The sequence below is a fragment of the Homo sapiens genome, chromosome 1, assembly GCF_000001405.40.
Source record: "Homo sapiens chromosome 1, GRCh38.p14 Primary Assembly".
Classification (NCBI taxonomy): Eukaryota; Metazoa; Chordata; class Mammalia; order Primates; family Hominidae; genus Homo; species Homo sapiens.
The window spans coordinates 232,445,979-232,468,090 of NC_000001.11; the positions used below are offsets into that span (position 1 = coordinate 232,445,979).

The 22,112-nt window shown below is 40.6% G+C and overlaps 1 protein-coding gene across 11 annotated transcripts in view, besides 1 other annotated feature; it reads right to left on the reverse strand.

Moving 5' to 3' along the window:
- The window catches only part of SIPA1L2 (signal induced proliferation associated 1 like 2), a 232,532-nt gene that overhangs the window by 48,014 nt on the left and 162,406 nt on the right, over positions 1-22,112 (reverse strand). For all 11 annotated transcript variants that reach the window (NM_001377488.1, XM_017001896.2, XM_047426142.1 and 8 more), the window contains 2 exons: positions 18,862-19,438; positions 14,909-15,183 (listed from right to left, as the gene is read on the reverse strand). In NM_001377488.1, the coding sequence (NP_001364417.1) occupies positions 14,909-15,183; positions 18,862-19,438 (852 nt within the window). The remainder of the gene's footprint in view (positions 1-14,908; positions 15,184-18,861; positions 19,439-22,112) is intronic.
- Positions 21,342-21,511: an enhancer, noted in NCBI's record as "experimental_6136 CRE fragment used in MPRA reporter constructs". NCBI's record gives its function as "activates a minimal promoter by MPRAs in K562 erythroleukemia cells, with activity observed for both the introgressed and non-introgressed 1:232603151 variant alleles {active_cell/tissue: K562}" and the evidence as "EXISTENCE:reporter gene assay evidence [ECO:0000049][PMID:34662402]".

The following is a 22,112-nucleotide window of genomic DNA, read 5'->3' on the forward strand; positions in this document are numbered from 1 at the left end:
CCTCTTCTGCCAGCAATGACTGCGTCTAGAAATGAGAAAGGCGGTTTGTGGCTTTTTTCCTGGCTGCCGTGCAGCCACACACATCATCTATGCTGGTACCTGCTAATACAGCCGTATGGTTATTAAAATGTTCCAACTACCAATGCGTAAGAAGCAGCTGTTCCAAGACCCCCAATACACAGCTAAAAAAAATTAACACCTGGCACAGCAGAGGCCTCCAGGACTTGTAGGTTAAATATTTTAAATATATTTCTGGAGATAACAAGTACTATCTCCGGTAATTAGAAATCTAAAGTCCAGAGACATTAAACACCTTGTTCACAGTTACTCAGCAGGACCAAGACTGGGCCTCTGGTCCTCACATCCACTCCCAGGGACCGTAGAAATAAGACCCTCTAAGCAAATATTCGTCATTTTTAGGGATGATGGAAATGTCCATTATCTTGTTTGTGGTGACTATTTCACACATGGGCCAAAACTCATCAAAATGTATGCTTTGTATACATGCAGTTCATTATGCATCAACACCTCAATAAACTTGTAGAAAAAATCATACTAAATAGAAAGAGAAAAGCTTCCTTTTGTCTGATATTTTATTCTTCAAGAAAGTGTTTGGTTAAATGCAGCATAACCAGTCTTAGTGACCAAAAGAACTAGGCCATGTCTGTGTTCAACATATGGGAGTTGGTGGATTCTAAGGTTTCTCTCTCTTTCTCTGTCTGTAGTTCCTCCTTATTACAAACTTTGTATGAGATTTATCTTCCTGAAAACTTCAATGTCTCCTTAATGCCTTTCAGGCACACCATGTGCCTAGCACTGGCTTGCCCCAGTCCCTCCATAGTCACATTGCCCACAGAGCAGACGCCAGAGGTGGCTCACAGAGCCACCCAGAGTCCTCTGAGCACCTGAAATGGACTTGTGTTTGGAGGAACACAGTGATTTCATTTTCATTAATTTGACTTTAAAAACTGATACTCTGATTCATTTTTTAAGTGTTTAGAATAACTTGGGTATATGAATCTATGTTTTCAACTTTACATTTTACGAAATATAAACAGCAAGTACTCAGGATAAAATTTAGCATCTGATTTGAGATATGCTGTCAGTGTGAAATGTACTCCAAATTTCAAAGACATAATACAAAAAATAATGTAAACTATCTCATTAATAATCATTTAACATTTTTTAGATGTTGAGATGATAGTATTTTGGAGATATAAAGTTAAAATATATTACTAAAAATAATTTCACCTGTTTCTTTTTACTCCTTTTAATATGGCTACTGGAAAATCCAGATAAAATCTTTCTATTGGACAGCCCCCTGTAGAGGAACCTGGCCTGCCACAGCTCTCTGCATGTTGTCTATCTACCCCCAGCTGGCTGATCTGCTCCAGCCCCGCCTCCTGGCAATCGTATCTCCCAGTCTGACCCACATCTCAACTTAAATCTTGCCTTCTCCATAAGATTTGCTGACTGTGCTGCACAGTGCAAAGGATGGCAAGCCATGGTACAATTTAAAAAAGGTGTGTGCTCTGCACAGATGCCCCGACAGAGAATGGCTGAACTTCAGTGGTCCCTCACCACTGAAGGAAGGCACCTTTCTGACACAAGCCATGCAAGTGCATGCAGTAGCCCCATTCTTGGCTATGGGGGCCTTGTCTATTTACAACCAGGATGGATCAGTATGATCCAATATTCATGGTTTTGGTTCTGGCTAGTTGATGGATATTGCTGTTAGGCATGTGATATACAAATTCTGTCTTTCCAGCTAATTAGCAAACTTCTAGGACAGAACTGATCGAACCTTTAACTAATATGCATATGTGGAATCAAGAGCATTGAACATGGGTGATAAATAAGCTTTAACAGATTAAAAATACTTCATTTATATAAGCTGAACAGATATTTTAAACTATAGTTATATTAATATAATCAGGAATCAGAGTTACAAATCACTTTTTTATTGAGTCTGAGAGAAGTGAAAAGCACAATTAGTAAAAGCTGTCACAATTCAGGGAAAACCTGAGTGTCCATCATGTGAAAGTCAGGTGTGGCTTTTAGTTACCATAGTTGCTCTCTTAAACTGGCATCACAGCTCCCTAAAAGGTCACAGGCTAGACAGCTTTCCCATGTGCTCAAGCGATTACTCAGGTACTTAAGACTCTTTAGCCTAAAATATATGATTTAAGTCGGCTATGCCTAAGGTTCCCACCAACTGCACAGTGCAAGGCGTACTCTTAACTTGACCAAAGTCAGCCTGCGAAGCTAATTGGTGCAGTTCGGCAAGGACACGGGAAGACTAGATAAGTCTCAACTCTAGAATTCAATTTACCATGTTGGCAAACCAGTCAGCATCCCAAGCCAGTGCCTCTCCCTAGACATTCCAGAGCCAACATAAAACAACAACAACAACACTTCCTAATATTTGCCCTTTGAGAAATCTATTAGAACAAGGGATCACTCTGTTAAAAAGCAGAACTCCACTGTCAGCATGGTATAGTAAAAGTTTCAGCCTTTTCAGAAAATCATCACAACAGAACAAGGAGAACAAGAAACAGAAACAACCTCAACTGCCAACTGAATTTGGAGATCCCTGAAACTCTAATACACAGTATGTAAGTTGGAGGTGAATGGAAGAAAGGTTATGGCTCAGCAGAGCAGAGGAAGGTGTGCTGAGGGAAAAATCAGTAGGAAGGAAGACCACTGTCTTTGCAGAATGCCAAAATGGTGCAGGGACGGTAAGCACCAAGCACTGCAAAAGGCCAAGTGACAAGGGAGATTTAGGCATAAAAGTTACTTAGAAAGGAGGAACAGTAGTTCGGCCCTGGGCCCTGAGGTCCACACAGCGCCTGGCCTAGTCAGGCAGTAACCTATCCCCTACCACTGCGGGACAACAGCAGTGGTTTTTAGAGAACAGAAAAGATGCAGAGTCAAGGGCGTGAGGTGCAGAGGAGAACAGGGATGAAAATGACAAGCCTAAGGCAGAGATGAGACCCAGGGTCACTTCTCCTTCCTCTAAACTTGGCCTCAGAATGCTCACCACCCCACAGAGATCAAAGAAGATGGTTCTCTAGAGAAAAGACAAGCAGATGTAAACCATCCAATCACTCTGCAGTGAAGCTCATGGAACAACTAGATCGCTGAAGAAGAGGTGGAACTTATGAGAGTTAAAATTAAACACTAAAAAATCCAGTAAGACAGTTGTAAGGTAAACTGAGAAATTCTCTCAGTTATGAGAGATAAAAACTTAAGAAAACTGGCCGGGCGCGGTGGCTCACGCCTGTAATCCCAGCACTTTGGGGGGCCGAGGTGGGCGGATCACGAGGTCAGGAGATTGAGACCATCCTGGCTAACATGGTGAAACCCCGTCTCTACTAAAAATACAAAAAATTGGCCGGGCACGGTGGTGGGCGTCTGTGGTCCCAGCTACTCGGGAGGCTGAGGCAGGAGAATGGCGTGAACCCAAGAGGCGGAGCTTGCAGTGAGCTGAGATAGTGCCACTGCAGTCCGGCCTAGGCAAAATAGCGAGACTCCGTCTCAAAAAAAAAAAAAAAAAAAATTAAGGAAACTGAAGTTCAATCTAAAAAGTCCGGCAACTACCAGACAGACCTATCACAAAAGAGAAGAGGGAAAAAAAAAGGGGGAGAAAATTATTAAGAAATAGTATATGAACATTTCTAGAACTAAGATATGTAAAACTGGATTAAAAGGTCCAGAGAGTACCGAGCCCAATGAATAAAAAATGGTCCACATGAAAACACATCACTGAGGAATTCAGACTCCTGGGTTAAGGAAGTAAGCCTACGGTTCTGGGGACAGGGTGGGTGGGAGCCTAAGGGTCTAAGGACCTGGGCGTGGAATAGTTCCATTCTTCTCAACAACAATACTAGAAGGTACAAAATATAACAAAGGAAATCCTTGTAAAATTCTGGGTGAAAGTGATTTCTAACTTGTCAAATCCATAGTACTTGGAGCTTGGGACAGAGAAAGAGAAAAAATAAAAAACAACATCCTAACTTTTGGCTTGGGAAACCAAATTCATGGTAGCGTTAATAGAGTAGAGTGGACTGAATACACCCTCCTAAAGAAATCTTAACACCTGCTTATAGAACATGAGGTAGTGATTTCTCTGTGCATCAGTAAAGGTTAGTTCTTATCCTTTATTTTAACTCTGTTTCCCTTCCTGAAAGTAAAATTCACCTCTCTTATTTAGTTTAAGTTACTCTGGATTTACTGAGTTTAACAGTTACATTATTGGTCAAACTGAGTAAATGCAAATTACATTGGGTTGCATCATTTTCTTATAAAATGCCAAGGCTCTATAAGTTTTGTTCATGGATTTATATTGCTTCCAAGTGTTTTCTGTTTATTAAGATACCACATCCCTAGGGCTACTGATTCATCCCCATAGCCAAAGACCTAATCAGAAATCAAGGGTCAGATATGACAGTAGATAATAAAACATGAAGAAAACCTACTTTTGTCTTCCACTCAAATCGATGCTCTAAGCGTCACTGGATGTTCAGGTGAACACCAGGCTTTGGTGTCTCACAGGTTCCAGCTGCCTGAGTAGTGCACATCAGGAACTGTAACTGACTACCATTGAAGTTACAGATCCTGGAGTTATATGTTGAATGAAAGGAACGTGAACCTTGAATCTTGTGAACCCAAAGACATCTTTGCATTTCCAGTGCTTGTTTGGCCTTCAAGTTTGTTTGGTATGGTTTTTAAGAGGAAAAAAGAAAGAGAAGACAGATGGCTGAGTAGTGTGGCCTACTTAATTCATGCCCATAGACTGTAGTCTTTATAAGACACTATAATTTAGCTTGAGGCTTGGAAAGAAACATGTAATATAAATGCATAATCATGACTCATATTTTGAGAGAATGCTGGCAAAAATCTGTGCAATCCATTAAGTTGAAGAGAGAATCTGGGTGGAATTATTTTATCTCCAACCTTGTGCAGAAAGTCATATAGGAAAGGTCTTTTAAAATACTAAGAACTGGCATTCTTTTGCCCTAATAAAAATTAGCTATTCTCAAAAGAATGGTTTTATTTTAAAATCAAACTAATTTTGTTATTATGTGACACTTTTACAGCAACTACTCTTGTGAACTAGATTTTGCTTTGTTTACTTCTATGACTAAGGTGCCAAATTAGTACTACTGATATAAGCGATCATCAAACCTAGTCAAACTCAGTTCCGTTCCATATATATGAGAAATTCCTTAAAGGATGCATACAGAAAATTCAACCAATGTTTAGGGAAATGGGAAAAGGCATAAAAGAAGAATGACAAATGAGCCTGGAGAAGTCCTCATGCTGCAGTGCCCATCAGAAATGGATCTGCGTCCCCCTTGGCACGCATCCTCTCTCCCACTTGGGGGGTTTTAGCAGAGGACACCAGGCAAGACACCCCAGCTCATGTGGAGTGTCAAACTGGGGGCTGCTGTGGATGGGGCACATGGCAAATATTTCGATGAGTTAAATAAAGGCTAACTGAAACCCGAACAGACCAAATGCCCAAAAACCTAGCACAAAAAGACATTTCTAAAAAAACAAGCTGCTCAACCCGTGTGTAACTGCAACATTTTTAAAGAAAAGACTTTTGCTTTCCTGCTACAGTAGAAAAATTCAGACCTCATTGATACACATGCTTGGCTTCCTCTCGATATACCAAATCAAGTCAATGGATGGAAACTGCATTTCTAGCTTCTGGCACATTCTTTACAGTTTGCTTGCCAACAGGAGATACTAAAAAACCTCAAGATAAGGCTGTGGGATCACTTTTATGTAGGCATATTGATTTCCTCTTTGCTCCATAACAAATGTACACATCATCAACTTATGCTCCTAATTACCATGCTACATAGGGATCAATACAAAGTCAGCTCCAGGTTAAAAATAAGTGCAATTTTTCACATTTCTTGTCTAGCCAATAACTTTTCTGAGTCTATTCTCTCTTCTCTCTCAAAAGCATACACTGGAAGGCAAAACATTCTGTAGACCAAGAAGGTCACTGAAAATGTGTTAGTTAAAAATGTGGCATTATCAAACTGTAAGAATAACAAGTAATTCCATTAGATGGCATCCTCAGAGGATCTTTTATTTTACTGCTGTATTCTAAAAACAGTATTACTTGTCCTTTTGCACTCACCATCGTGGACTTCCTGGGATGGCTTAATCCTGTAAAAGGGACACTCATTAACTTATTCATATTCATACTCATGGGCTTTCTCCCCTGCTTCCTGATGCCTAAAGCTAAGTTTCCTACCAGAAGACTTCTTGGTTACAGCTGCCACCACTTCCTGGCTTCCTGAACATGATCAGCAAAGAGGGGGTGTCCTATCTTGCTCACAGTTAACAGACACCACGGTCACTGCCAAGTACTGTAGTGTATGCACTCCACAACTTCAGAGGCACCCAGGAAGGCCCCCACAGTTAACAGACACCACGGTCACTGCCAAGTACTGTAGTGTATGCATTCCACAACTTCAGAGGCACCCAGGAAGGCCCCCAAGATGGCATCCACCCACCCAGGCCCATTCCTTTCCAACAACACCTTGAGTTTCTCGGAAGAACCTTCCATTTACCATCAATAATTTGGACACTGGAAGGTGGAATCCCTGCTGGCCAGGCTATGGACTTGGTTCTAAATCATGTCTTCAAACTCTGCAGGCTGACCGTCAAGACCATCACTGTTTGAGTCTAGTCAAGCCATATGGTTTTTTCCATTTGTTCCCAACAGGAACCCTAGATACCAAACTATCTCCATTAAAGAGAGAGTTTGGGCTCTAGGCTTAAAACCCAGACATGACTATGTGTAGCTTAGAAATGTGACAACCTCTTAGACCCTCCTCTTGAAAACAGAATAGTAACAGCAGAGGGTGCATCAAGATTAAGTTACATAAAATATGTAAACTTCCTCAACTGACAGCTTCAAAAGAAAGAAGTTCACTACAAATAGACATTATTACTTCTGTTTCCACAAAAAGGGGGAAACCAACATTAAACTGCAAAAGGCACATAAAATTTTATGAAAGTTCTAGATAACAGATGTTTATAGAGTTCTGGAATTTTAAAGTTTAACTTTCAAATTGAAAAAAATCTTTAAAGCTGTAAAATTCCCTTCATCTACATTCATCTGTAGAACAATATATATCATTATCCCATTATTTTATTCTTTTCATCTTACATAAAAGTAGGATGCATGACTTTGTATTACGCTACTATGAAACTAAGAAAGGGGAAGAGTCCTAAGGGAATGATGAGTAGCAAAACAAAACCAAAAAACCTAGAGAACTGAGAAGGTTCAAAGGGAAGAATACATATTCTTATCAAAAAAAGAGAGGGCAGTTGACCAGTTAGTTGGACCAGGTACCACAGACTGTGCAGTCACAGCTTCATCTAATCCCATGACTGGAACTTGCATTTACTGGACTCTGAAATTCCCTATTGGTTTTACCTTACTTGGCTGCATCACAGAGAATCTTTAAGTGAACCCAATAATCTAAGGAAAAGCCTTACAAAGTACTGCAATGCTATTCTTTAATTCCAATCCACCACCTTAGCATGTGTAGCACTTTATAGTGCTCCACATACATCATCTGACTTTCACAAAAATTTGTGAGGTACAAAGAAAATCTCCATTTTTTCAGAAGAAGGGCTAGAGAGGTTGGAAAGATGATACAGCTAATCAGAGATAGGGTTCACAATGGAACTCAGGTCCTCTGACTCAAAGTTCAGGGCTCTTCCTAAAACACAAGGCTTTTTTTTTTTTTTTTTGAAAACCATCCAAGAACAGTTACTGCAGCCTACACTATGTCATATTTTTCAGTAGGTGCTAAAAGAATCTTTGGAAACAAAAGCCGATCCTCTAAAACAAATTAAATGTTTTTTTAATATTATGCATTTTGTAAAAGAATCATTTTATAGCCCTAGGGATTAAAGTAATCACTGATATTTTAATCATTTTAATGTCTGTTATGCTAATAGCTTGCTAATAGCTAAAATACTCCAAATTATCCAACAAGGTGACAGGGGTAATTGATGCTCATTCGCTTGAATCACAAACTCTTTCTGGTACATAAAAAAATCAAAGGCTTCCAACCGGGAGATAACCACATAGTATAACTTACTGTAAAGGTTAGGGCAGTGGCATACATGAAATAGGCACTAAATGAAATAGTAACTTGCTTTTCAACAAATTCCTTAATTTACAGATAGAAACAGAGATACCCAGAATAGGTAGAAAAAAAGACATATGAACCATAATCACACTTGACCAAGCCCTCTTATAAAGGTCAGCAATTGAAAAGGTATCGTATGAAATAGGAAGTGAGGCTATCTGGCACTTACTAATTCATCAGCTTCCTTCCATCCTTTTCCTCCCTTACTAGAAGCAGACACAGGGGCAGATGGTATCTTTGTATCCCCAGTACCTGGCAGAGCACTGGACAGAAGCTCAGCACGTTCTTGTCAAAATCAACTGCTTTGTTTCTTAGAAAGCTTGAGAGCAGGAGTAACACTGCACTGTAATACTTCAAAATTATACAGAGAAGATTCTCAATAGCTAGCTATCTGACGCCTGATTTTTGACGAATGTATTTCTATGGGGGGAGAATATCCAATGGCTGTCCACTATGGTAGCCACGGTGTAACCTGTCAAGCATGAGATGGTTACTAGTCTAACACAATGCTCATGCTTTACCGCCATCCTCTGCATTCCTCTTATTGTGATGGTAATATCCCAACATTCAAAATGAAAAAACACGTGGGCACTGAAGTGTAGATTATTACTTGGAAAGGGTGACAGCATTTTCTACACTACCCTGAGACATTTATTATTAAGTAGTAAGTTGTTGCTGTAGTTTGAGAAAAATCACTTTTAAATAGCCAAAATATGAATAAGTACTACTGCATTTTAGAAAGCCAGAAAGACTAAAAGGAGTCCTTGAAAGTCAGATTACATCTGTCCCATCCGTTTTAACAGCCCCAGTGCTCAGCACAGTTCCTGGCACAAGCTAGTTAAGAGTGAGTGGCTGAATGAATGAATGAATGAGTGAATGCAAGGCAATCTACCTTAAATTCTATAATCCTATGTTCTTACTTTAGGGAGTGAGAGAACAATCTGAATGTTATATTGGAGAAACTGGCCAGAGGACTCAGAATAGTGATTGTACTTTAGGTTACCTTTGTTCTGTATTGTTTTCACATTTCACATCAAAATTCAATACTGGAGCGTCCATAAGACAACACTAGACATAACTAATTTTTATTATCCATACAAATAAGTTGGAACTCGAATATAAAAAGCTCACTTGAGACACACGCACGCATATGTTCACTGCAGCACTATAACAACAAAAACGTGGAATCAACCTAGATGTTCAACAGTGGTCTGGATAAAGAAAATGTGGTTGGCCGGGTGCCGTGGCTCACGCCTGTAATCCCAGCACTTTGGGAGGCTGAGGTGGGAGGATCACGAGGTCAGGAGATCGAGACCATCCTGGCTAACACAGTGAAACCCCGTCTCTACTAAAAATACAAAACATTAGCCGGGCGTGGTGGCGGGTGCCTGTAGGCCCAGCTACTCGGAAGGCTGAAGCAGGAGAATGGCGTGAACCCGTGAGGCGGAGCTTGCAGCGAGGCGGAGCTTGCAGCGAGCCGGAGCTTGCAGTGAGCCGAGATCGCGCCACTGCACTCCAGCCTGGGCAACAGAGCGAGACTCTGTCTCAAAAAAAAAAAAAAAAAGAGAAAATTCCATATACACCATGGAATACTATACAGCCATAAAAAGAACGAAACCATGTCTTTTGCAGCAACACAGGTGGAGCTGGAGGCCATTATCCTAAGCAAATTAACACGGCAACAGAAAACCAAATGCTGTCATGTTCTTGCTTACAAGCGGGAGCTAAACATTGAGTACACATGGACACGAAGAAAGGAATAATAGACACTAGGGCTTATTGAGGGTGAAGGGTGACAGAAGGGTGAGGATGGAAAAACTGCCTGCTGGGTAGTATGCTGATTGCCTGGGTGACAAAATTATCTGTACACCAAACCCCCACGACACGTAATTTACCCACGTAACACACCTGCACATGTACCCCTTGAACCTAAAAGCTGGGAAGAAAAAAAAGTCTGCTTTGTAATGAATAATAAATGGGATAAAGCATGGAAAAAATTTTTAAAAAAAGAAGGCTCACTTGAGTCCAGATTTCAGCCCACCATTTATTTTATATATGTATGTGTGTAGATATACATCTAAAAATAAAAACTGTTAAACTGACAAAATTGAGTTTTCCTTCTATTTCCATACTCTCCTCTCTGCATACTTCAGGGAGTTGAATGACCAGGCAACAGACAGCAAAACAGGAGATGAGAACATAAAGTTTTAATTTTTATAGAATGATGAGAGAATAATAATTTAGACTCATGATAACATGAGAAAATTTCCACTGTTTTGCATTATATAGAAAAATGCCTTGGATAGTATGTCAACAAAGTATGAAAAAAATCACAAAAAAACAGATGCACTGCAGCAAGGAATTTCATTTCCATTTTTATTGGACATATTTACTAAATTCACTCACATTATATAACAACTCATGCATAATTCTGATGAGTTGTTACTTCCTTTATATCCGCCTTTTAGGTTGATATGCTTTCCTTCAAATGACACTGATAGAATGTCAGTCACCTTTGAAGGCCAGAGGCCAGGGCCATACCGGTGGCTGTAAATTATCCCTTGCAAAAACAAGACAGATCTTAATTAAGCATTTCTGGCCCCAGCAACTCTTCATCTTTGCCACAGAGACTGTCTGCTTGAGAAACACCCTGGTTCCCCTTTCAAACCTCATTTCCATTTGAAGAGTACTATTCCCAAACTGCTTCTTGCCACTCATTCCCAATGTATATGAATTCACTCCAGGATCCAATCCCAGCACGAGATCAGTTAATAAGTGTCCCTCAAGGGGGATTCTCCCTGCTCAGTGTTCCCTGCAACTCCACAAGGAAAACTAAAAATGGCTCTGACTTCCCTTCACGCTGAGGGACAAGCTAGACTGTCACCTCCCTTAGGCTGGCAAATGGGACTTCAAAACACAGGTGGCTTTAGGTTGAACATAAATACTTTTATGGGAATTCAAAACACAGGTGGCTTTGGATTCAACAGATTAATAAATACTTTTCCTACTAAAGACTGCATTTATTCCAGCAGCTTCTGAGTCAAAACCAAACACCTTTTGACCTGAGGACAAGAAAAACTGTCTATTAAATGACAGGCCACTCATGCTGCCCACAGGAGGAGCTGGGCTCCCATGTCAAATGATTTTCTAAAACGGGAGTTGATAAATGGCAAAAATGAACTGAAGCATTTTTCACAACATTTATGAGACTAAAATATCTCATAATTCCTTAATTTGGCCATTTTTGTAGTCTTCATAGTGTTTATGTTAAAAACTACTGTAAAAATGTATATGTATATATACACACATACACACAGAAACACACACATGCATATACATGTCCATTTAAATAATATTTCTCCTCCCTCACAAGCACGAAGAGTCCATCTGAGAAAGTTGGAGGTCATTTTCCATGCTGCAAGTCAAATGTATAGCTTTAGCTTGAGGCACATCCTGTTATGTGTTGCTATATGGTTAACAGTACTAAAGGATGTTTGATTTAAAGGGTTTGTATTTTAAATTTTAAAAGGAGTGAAGTGCTACCCATTTCCCCTTAGCCCCTCCTCTACAGTTTCTTAACAAATCTAATAATGCAGAAGGCTAAACATGCTGAGCGCGAGGGTGAAACTGAAAATGACACTTCATACTTACACTTGCGGTCTAAAGCAAAGGGCTGGTATTGCAAGGGTGGTATCTGGTTATGAGAGGTTGTCTCACAACACCAAATACTTTTATCAGGGCACCCAGACAGTTGCAGGCAGAAAACAAATCAAAACTAACAAAAATATGGATTTAAAAATTTACAAATTCAGATTCCTAGAAAATTGGAAAACTGAATTGAAAGAGTTTTAAATGATACAGGCTAGGCTTAAAGCCTTCATGACCTGCAGAAATGTGGGTGATGGGTGTGCCAATTTTGGAACGTTGCTACTAGGCAAATAGCTAATTCTAATCCTTCTGGCTAAGGTTAAAAGACAGTTATTACAGATTAATTGGGAAAAAAAACCCTGTATGTTTAGGGAATGACATTAATGAGACTCCTAGGAGGCAAGGGCAAAATCTTTAAATAAATATCTTGCCTAGCTCCATTAAGAGAATTTGCATTTAAAACAAAGAATTAATTATGTGTAGACCAAGGCAGATAACTGATTCCTTAGAGGAAAAACATGTCCTTGGATAAAAAGATAACAGCTGCTGGAACTTTTAAATTGTAGTTTTTGTTTGTTTTAGCTGAAAAACAATTCAATATTTCGTAGAAAATTCTATCCTCCTAAATTGTATTTCTAAATACCAAATATCACGACAACTTTACCATTTTTATTAAACAGATCTCTTGAAAGCTTTAAAAATTTCTTACTAACAGTAAACCAAAACTAAAAATAGGCAAGAAATGTTATTTTTTAACCCAAAGGAAGCGCAAGGTAACATTTTTGTCCAATTCTATAGTAATCGGCTGCTAGGACAGATAAAAGACTTGATACAAAGGCAGATAAAAGACTGATTCTTATCTTAATAATTAAAAACCTGTATTTCTACTAAGGAAGACAGAAATCTTACTGTATGAAAAAATTTCTAACAAATGCTGGAAAATGTACTATAAAAGAATTTTACATATACAGTACTTTAGCTTTTAAGGCCTAAAGGATTTGCCTTTTGTTATTTCCAAGACTCATTTTTAATAAATTAATTTTTTATTTTCTTTGGACTCATAGCAGTACATGTGATTCATGGGACTCTGGAAAAGCAGACAGATTCAACTAGGCAGAATCAGGCAAGGCAATAAGAAACATCTTAACACGGGACTGATACTCTACAGAGAAAACTTAGTTTCTTAAATCCTTATTTTATAAACACACTGGGCAAATACAGGAAACAAGGCCACAGAAAGTGAGGCTGGAGGCAAATGCTAAGATAACTAATAGAGAAAGATTTTTGCAAGATTTTGCACATTAACCATAGAGGAAGACAGTGTAAGTGGCTTTTTTTCCTAAAAGGAGATCATGGTTTAGCTGATCTATCCAATATGGCAGCCACTAGCAACACGTGGCCAATTAAATGTAAATTAATTAAAAGGAAAAATTCGTTTCCTAAGTTGCACTACAGTTCATGTACGTAATAGCCACATGTGGTTTGTGGCTACTGCTCTGAACGGTACAGACACAGATCACTGTAGAAAGTGCTAATGGAGAGTGCTGGCTTAAAGGAGGAAGAAAGGAAACAGAGAAAGGAGAGAGTATGACCTAGGTTAGTAAGTCCAGAAAGTAGACCCAACAATCCTACTATCTTTGGATAATCAGAATTTATTTTTTCATATGAAAGAAATTAAAATGAATATGCTAAAGTTTTATTTATTATTATTATTTGAGATGCAGTCTCACTCTGCCACCCATGCTGGCGTACAGAGGCACGATCTCAGCTCAGTGCAGCCTCGACCTCCCAGGCTCAAGGGATCCTCCTACCTTCCCCTTCTGAGTAGCTGGGACTACAGGTGCACACTACTGCACCTGGCTAATTTTTGTATTTTTTGAAGAGATGGGGTTTTGCCATGTTGTCCAGGCTGCTCTCAAACTCCTGGGCTCAAGCGATCTGCCCACCTCGACCTCCCAAAGTGCTGGGATTACAGGTGTGAGCCATAGCGCCCAGCCCCTAAAGTTTTATTTTTCTAAATTAAATGTGTGGGGCAATTATGCTAGAAGGTTCTAAGTGCTTTACATGTGTTACTTTATTTCATCTTCATTGAAATCATAGGAGGTAGGCGATATAATAATCCCATCTTACAGAGAGTAAGTGAGACTTAGAGAGAGTGTGTGAGTTGCCCCAGGCCACACAGCAAATTCCTGGATTCCAAGCATACTTTGTCTCTCAAAAGCCAGAGCTCTTAAGGCTGCCTGTACGAACTCCATTTGGGAATGAAGATAGAGGGAAGGTGCTCTAGATACTACCACCAGTCATGCATTAACACAAGTAGTGGGCCACAGCCTCAATAAACGGCTCCTTCTTAATTAGCATTCTTTCTCCTTTTGGCCTAATATTTTATGTTGGGCATGATTATTTTCTATTAGTAATGTAATAGTATTGCTTTCTAACCCCGTTCTTATCCCAGCCCTCCACCTATCCGCCTCTGAACCTTCCAAGTCTAGCCGTTCCTTTTCATCTATTTCTCCTGACAGTTTATGATAACGCCCTGAACCAGTTCAACATCTCTCAAGCTTCAATTGAGAATGGAGTATTTACCACAGAGAGTACCTGTGCTGTTCCAACATTCTTTCATACCTACAACTATTGGTCTGTTAAATATTTTTTAAATAATCAATGGCTTCATGTTATGGGAAGAAATTCTAACTGAATAGTTAAGTATTTAATGTGCTCAAGGCTGAGCTGTGATACAGAATTATTTCCTCTTAGATATAAGAGGTCCAGGGGAACCAGGCAGGTGCTCTTCCCCTTAGTTCAGAATAGCTCAGCTTTAATGTAGTCAATGTTCCATTAAAATGCTTAGCAAATTATTTTTTATCATCTATTACATATTTTAAAGCTCCTTTTCAATTCCTCGAACGAGTGACATCCCAACAACATTGTACAAATGAGTGACATCCCAGAACACTGTACAAAGACACACTTGACTGCATTTTCTGAGGACCTTGCAGGAGCACTGAGGACAGCCACCTGCTACAGAGGCAAAGGAGGAGTGAGCATTACTTGGGCCTCCCACGCCTTACCTTCGGGGCGAGCCGTCATCATGGGGCTGGATGATGACCACCTTCACAGTCACAGAAGTACGGAGCAGGTCGATCATCTGCTCGTGGGTCAGAGTGGCCACGGCTACTTTGCAGATCTCCACGAGGCGGCTCCCTTGGCGAAGGCCAGCCTTCCAGGCAAAGCCAAAAGGTTCCACATCTGCGACAATTCCTTCAAAATTCACATGGAAGCCAAGCTGGCCCAGCCCGTTCCTCCTCAGGGTCATTTCCACAGTCTCGCAGCCTCTCGTCACTATCTAAGGGGGAAGGAGACTGTTAGAGATGCCCTTCCTGCCCAAGCTGCCATGGGGCTCTGCCAAAGGTGCACGTATGGGCCTCCATGCCAGCCCTCTCCCTTGGGCCCTCGCAGCCCAGCCTGTCTCTCTCTGCCTTTTCCTCAAACTGTCCAAGTGACAGGACAAGGACACATTTAAGTTCAGAGCTGATCACAATTAACATTTGCATCAAGTGCAAAGAAAATAACAGAAGCAAAGCAATGGTTTCATTCTTCATTCTAAGTCATATCTGTTCTTGATACAGGTGTCCTGCTTTCTTAGATGTCACTGACCCAGAGCTTGAGAGCTTCAGATGGGCTCAGATAATTCCCGTTTTTCCTTTATTAGGTAAATTGACTTGACTTTTAAGCATATAAATCCCATCGTTCTAGATGGATTTTTGCAATGGAAAACCTGTAAAGACTTTGTGGACCATTACAAGTTTCAACCAGCAAGCACTAAAAACCATGAGACAATTTATTCATCCCAAGCAAAGAAAAACACCCCAAAGCACTTGAAAGCTAACGCTTAAGAGCCCACTCTGAGGTTCAGGAAGGGCAGTGGCAGAAAGTCAGAGCTTTAGGAAAACTCTAAATGTTCTCTACGCACCAGCCCTAGGGACATACTGTGGAGTGTTCTGTCCCCTAGGGTCCTTCTCTTGAGGACAGACAACTGCCTATGCTTGCCTGAGTGGTGAGGACCACTCAGATCCATGGTGGGGGCAGGCCAGCCAGACTCCTTGGCCATCTGTTCACAAGGCAAGTGTGTAGGATGGTGCTCTGGCAGGCAGCAGACAGACCCTCTGTGCTTATGGGCTGCCTCTCCTCCACTAGGCCTGTCTCCTAGGGGCTGAGGGCAGCCCCAAGCAATGGAAGCCTCAGTGTATGTACCTTACTCAAGAGTGAGAGAGAGTCAACAGCAGTTCCACAAAAAGGAACATGAAAGAAGAATGGTGGATTGCATCCCACTTGGTACATTAAAGCACCACTAATGCAGCCCTCAAAAGCACTCACCGAGCATAGTTTACATCCAATGAAAGAAAAACATGGGCTCATTAAGTATCACCCGATGACTATGACCTCACCTATCTGTGGGAATTTCAAGTTGGGAGGTATCATACTCCTATCCCCAAAAGCCCAGAGGCAATGTATGAAGTTTCAGTTTAATGAACACTCCATTTCTATGAAACATGCTCTGACTACATAGATACCTATTTAATAAGACCTATGACAGTAAGTACAGCTGTGGGACTGGGGCTGGTTCATGTATCACCACTGTGTCTGATGTTTCCATGGTTACCACAAGTGCACACAATGCCAATCAGCTTTTCCCAGACAGGCATGACAGTTCACGACTCAGCAAAATGCGGAAAGGGGACTGCTGGTTTTAGTTAGTGATGATGTTTTAGAATATTGACGTTTCTAAAGTCATGAACTGAAGTAACTAAAACTTGAAGAAGTAGTTCTGTAATAGGCACAACACAAATAAATTTTGGTCACTTCTTTTTCAACTTTGTTCTAAGCAATCCTATCAAAAGACGACACATAAGATGTACCCAGCCTTCTTTCAAATATCAATGCGATTATCAGGTGAAGTTTATCATCCATGTATCAGGCTGAAGAGTTATTGGCTGAGCCTTTCCAGAGTCCTCCAGCTCTGGCTCTTCTGCTCATTTCCTCCAATCACCTGCCACCTCCCCTACTTTGTCTTTTTGCTATTTCTTTATCCCCTCTGTTTATTGCTTCCTAACATCCCCAAAGTCTGAAGTAAGGTGTTCTCCATGTATTTGGACTTCTTCCATGGACCCAATTATCACACGAAAATTGTAGTCTCCAAGCCAGGACTGGCTATGTAATTTGTGGGGCCACAAGAAAAATCAAAATGCGAGGCTCCTTATGAAAAAATTAGTAAGTATTTCAAGATGGCAATGGCAGAGCATTCAACCAAGCACGAACTCTTCTGAGAGCGGGTCCCTGTGCAACTGCATGGGTTGCACATCCGTGAAGTGAGCCCTGCCTGGCCCTCTAGGAACAAACTCTCATTCTGCTCCTGTACTGTTACCTGCAAGACAGACCCTTTAGTTCCACTTTCCACCACCTGAGAATGGATACTGAGTTAACCATCTGCCAAACGGGCAGGCATTCCCAACATCTCCACTAAGACTGCATTCTTCTCTTTCTTCCCATTTCTGTTACTACCACTCTGCATCAACCCTTACGATCTAATCCCTTCAACAGTCTTTGGTCTGGCTTGTTTCCAACAGCTCATGTTGCAAGTCATCCTAGACACAGAATATAATTCCTAAAATATATTTGTAATATTGTGCATCTTGGTCACACTGACAATACACTTTTCTAGGAAAATAGGATGGAGTCCATCGAATAGCAAATGTATAAAAGCCCATGTGTAAATATCCAGGGAAAGTACATTTTTGTGGTTGGTGAAGTGGTATTTGTGTTGTATTTTCAGAAGCACAGATTATAATGATTTGGTGGATATGCTAAAAAGAAGTATTTGCAATTAGCAAAAGCAGAATGCATCCAGAGACTCACCAGTATAATTCAAGTCAATTCTCTAGGTATATAAACTAATCATTTACTTAATCACCCCAAACTCTTATCTAGGCTTGCTCACGTATACCTGATAATACTGTTGAACACACTGAGGCCCTTTACTGTAAACAGAGTCCACAAATAATGAAATTACTTTTCCAAGGCTAGCAGACACTGCCCTGATTTTACCTTCTCTTATACATGGTCTCTAATAACAAAAGGGAGGAAATATTTTTGGTGGGAGGAAAGGGGGCAAGAAATGGATATAATTTCTCCTTTTCTCATGATCCATAGTGAACTAAACCTTTTCTAATTAAAAAAAAAATTACATCCCTCTTGGGGGAAGATTTACACACAAGAAATTCTATTGTCAAAGCATGTTTTTTTCTTATATTACCAAAAATAAAAACTAGAAGTAGTTTGATTTATTCTTACTACTTTATTTTATATGCTCAAACTAAAATCTGATTCTTACTTTGTTAAAATTGGGAGCAGAAATATGACTACTGAACACCATGGATAAAATATAAGGGTTTTGCACTAAAAATCACATACATGAAAATCTTTCTTAAGTCTAACTTTTCAAAAGCCTTTCTAAATTAATGTGTAATTCTGAAAAACTCCCTTAAGAAACTGTGGCTCTAAGATTAATAATATATTTAATCTGGCACATTAAACAAAAATAGCTGCTGTATAAACATGCAGGGGTGAAACTGCAGATAGGACTCGTCATTCATACAGTCAACAGCAATTCTGTTGTTAATTACCCACTGGGAAGGTATGTTATGTCAGCCTCCATAAACAGACATTCTACCCAGACACTTCTGTTTTTCCTTCAAATGCTACTAAAATACATCTTAATGTTCTCTTTTGCAGGTTGGCTTAACTTTTCTTTTCCAATTGATTTATGATGGTTGCTTCTCCACCATTCATGTATTCAACAACTCCCCAAAAGGACCCAGCATTTAAAATTAAGCTCTGTATCTGTAACAAATAGTAATGCATTCCCTAATTGGTATAATCATGGTAGCAGTTCCCCAGTGAAAGTTATTTTGAATCTGGAATTGAAAACATAAGGATGGCGGGAAAATAGAAAACATGTACTTACTACTAATCGCTGAACAATTTCCCTGATGTCTTCAGCACAGTTGTCTACCGAGGACAGGAGGACACATTCTCCTCTTTCGTAAAACACTTTGATACTCACTAATCCAGATGTCCACCCAATCACATCCCTGCAGGAACAGTTGAATACAACATTCTTGGAATCCTTTTCAATCAACATGATGAACTCATTGGAGATCCCGAGAAGACATTCAATGTCAGCAGACTGGCCGAAGTCCCGGGCTATCACGTGCCACATGATGGCCCCAATGCTAAACAAGTGGGCATCCTTCCTTGGCTTTACCTTCTCCTTTTTCTTCGCACCCAGCGTAATGAAGCTGAACTTCACAGAGGTATCCACGGTGGCGGTTGTGACAAAGTTCTCCGCCAGATCTTTCAAGTACTCCTGCCTCGTTCGAGTGGCCATTGCTCGAAACTTTTCTGATTTATGGGCTGCATTTTCTGCATTGATTACTTTGGCTAAAAGGAAGTCCCGGAACACGGCTGACTTTGGAAAAGTTACACCTTTGGGAATCGGTGGGCCAAATGGTGGCACATCTTTTGATCTGGAAACTCCAACACTGAGGAAGTAAAAACAGAAACAAAATGAGATGAGCTATGATACCATAATATGTATCTTTCCGAATTTGACATATATATACACACACACACACATATACATACACACACACACACACATATACATACACACATACACACACACTTTCAACTTAACTGGTTTATTCTGCAAGTTCTTGTTCTCCTAATTGCTGCATACCCAGGGTTTGTTGTTATTGTTGTTTAAGCAAAATGCTTTAAACTTAGTAGACAGGAGGTGTAATGGGCTGAATTATGTCCCTCTCAAAATCCACACGTTGACAAGATAACCCATAGTTCCTGGGAATGTGACGCAATCTGGAGAAAGGACCCTTAAGGAGGTGGCTAAGTGAAACCATTCGGGTGGGCCCTAATCCAACTGACTGGTGTCCTTATAAGAGGAGAAAATTTGGGCTTACAAAGAGACACCAGGGATGTATGCACACAGAAAGAAGACCATGTGAAGACACAAGGAGAAGACGGCCATCCATAAGCCAAGGGGAGAGGTCTCAGGAGAAACCAATCCTTGCTGACACCTTGATCTTAGACTTCCAGCCTCTAGAACTCTGAGAAAATAAAAGTCTGCCGTTTAAGCCACCTAGCCTGTGGCATTAGTACGGCAGTGCTACCAAACTAATACAGGGGGTAACACATCCACAGCATGTGGAATAAGCAGGCTGGCACTCTATAACTCTGTGGGGCTGGTTATCACTGGGAGAAACAGTAGCTCTTCTGACCAAAGTGGGTTTAGCCCACGTTAGCTGCATGGGATTCAGTGACGTGGGACAGAGTGATCATACTTACAAGAGCCAAAAGTTTTAAGTGTCACTTTTTTAAAGGAAATGCTCACTTTACTTGATCACATTTTGAAAATCTAAATGAAGGTTTTATGGGAGCAAAGTTTTAAGGGATCTCAGGGACTGAAGAGATCAAATGCATAGTGTTAATAACGAGCATTGTAATCTATTAAAACCAATAACGCTCCCCTACATCAGAGAGTTGCTTTAGTTATCTCATATCCTTTTCTGCATAAGATAAATTATACAGTGGACTAATGAATTAACAAAGGAAGGACTGGCCAGGTGCGGTGGCTCATGCCTGTAATCCCAGCACTTTGGGAGGTCGAAGCGGGTGGATCATGAGGTCAGGAGATTGAGACCATCCTAGCTAGCACGGTGAAACCCCGTCTCTATTAAAAATACAAAAAAATTAGCCGGGCGTGGTGGCGGGCGCCTGTAGTCCCAGCTACTCAGGAGGCTGAGGAAGGAGAATGGTGTGAACCTCGGAGGCGGAGCTTGCAGTGAGCCGAGATCACGCCACTGCACTCCAGCCTGGGCGACAAAGCAAGACTCCGTCTCAAAAAAACAAAAACAGAAACAAAAACAAAAAAACAAAGGAAAGATTAAGACGAGTAAGTGAATGAATGGATTCTGTATCACTGGCAGCATTGAGAGCACCCCAATTACTGAGTAGCTACCACAGACCAAGAATCTGTATTAATCCCACATCTGCCCAGGCTGATGTTGGAGTAAAGAAAGGAAGCAATCTTTGTTTTGTTTTCATCATTGTGGAAAATTCTAAAAAAGGTAAATTAAGGAATAAAAACATTCCATCCAAATTTGTTCTGTCAGATGCAAACTCCTCTTCTGAAATGTGGTTGGTTAGACTTTAGAAAAATCGCAGGCTAACTTGTGCTTTAATCTGCAACCTCTTCAGCAGAGTTAATCACCTGTAGCGGCAAGACAGACAGGTGGCTAGATGGGTCCTTCACTGATATGAAAGGGAAGCAATGACTGCTTTGCTTTGGGACAGATACACCGAACTCATCAATAGCACCTAGTGGTGCTTTATGGTAGTATATATACCATACCAGAGGGTATGTGTGTGTGGGAACTTGACTTACGGGCTTAAATGAAGGAAAGGTCCTTAAAAACATCACAGAGGTTGACACTGCCAGGGATCTACATCAGGTGTGGCCCATTTTCCCCTCACCACCATCCTCAGGATGGCCATTCTAGACTGGGAATTAATTTATCCCCCACAATCCCCCATGTTAACTCTGGGAGAGTGGTCTTAAAGCTACCTGTTTGGACTTGTGATTAGTCTAACCACATCCTGTGGCTTCTCTTCTCTACGCTGTCAATGAGCTCAAAGGGTCTCTCTGTGCACTGCAACCTGCCCTGCAAATATTGGGTACGATAAACCAATGTATCACCGCTCCTAAATTTGGTTCTCTCTTTCAACAGTGAGTACAGATTTCTAGCAGTATTTTACCCATGGAACGCTGAGGCGGCCAAATGTCATCTGGCACTCCAGTGCATTACTTCTTTGCATTAACTCTGTAGATCTCATGCTACCCTCTGAGTGCAGCTTGCATGCACTTAAGCTACAATGTCAGGGGAAATTTCTTGTTATCTAAATATGCTCCACTGTGGTGTCACATAGTAAATAAGAGAGACATGGTGACTCCATTATATAGTAGGGAAATTTTTTGTGTATCCAATTATAGACCCTAATATCTAATTGCAGATTCTCTGTACAATGTATGCCATATTCTTGTTCAATAAACTGTATTCTTGCACATCTCAAAGTTGTACAAGAAAACCAGCAGAATGTAAGCATGGCTATTCCATGATTGTTATGATATTCTGGGTATGG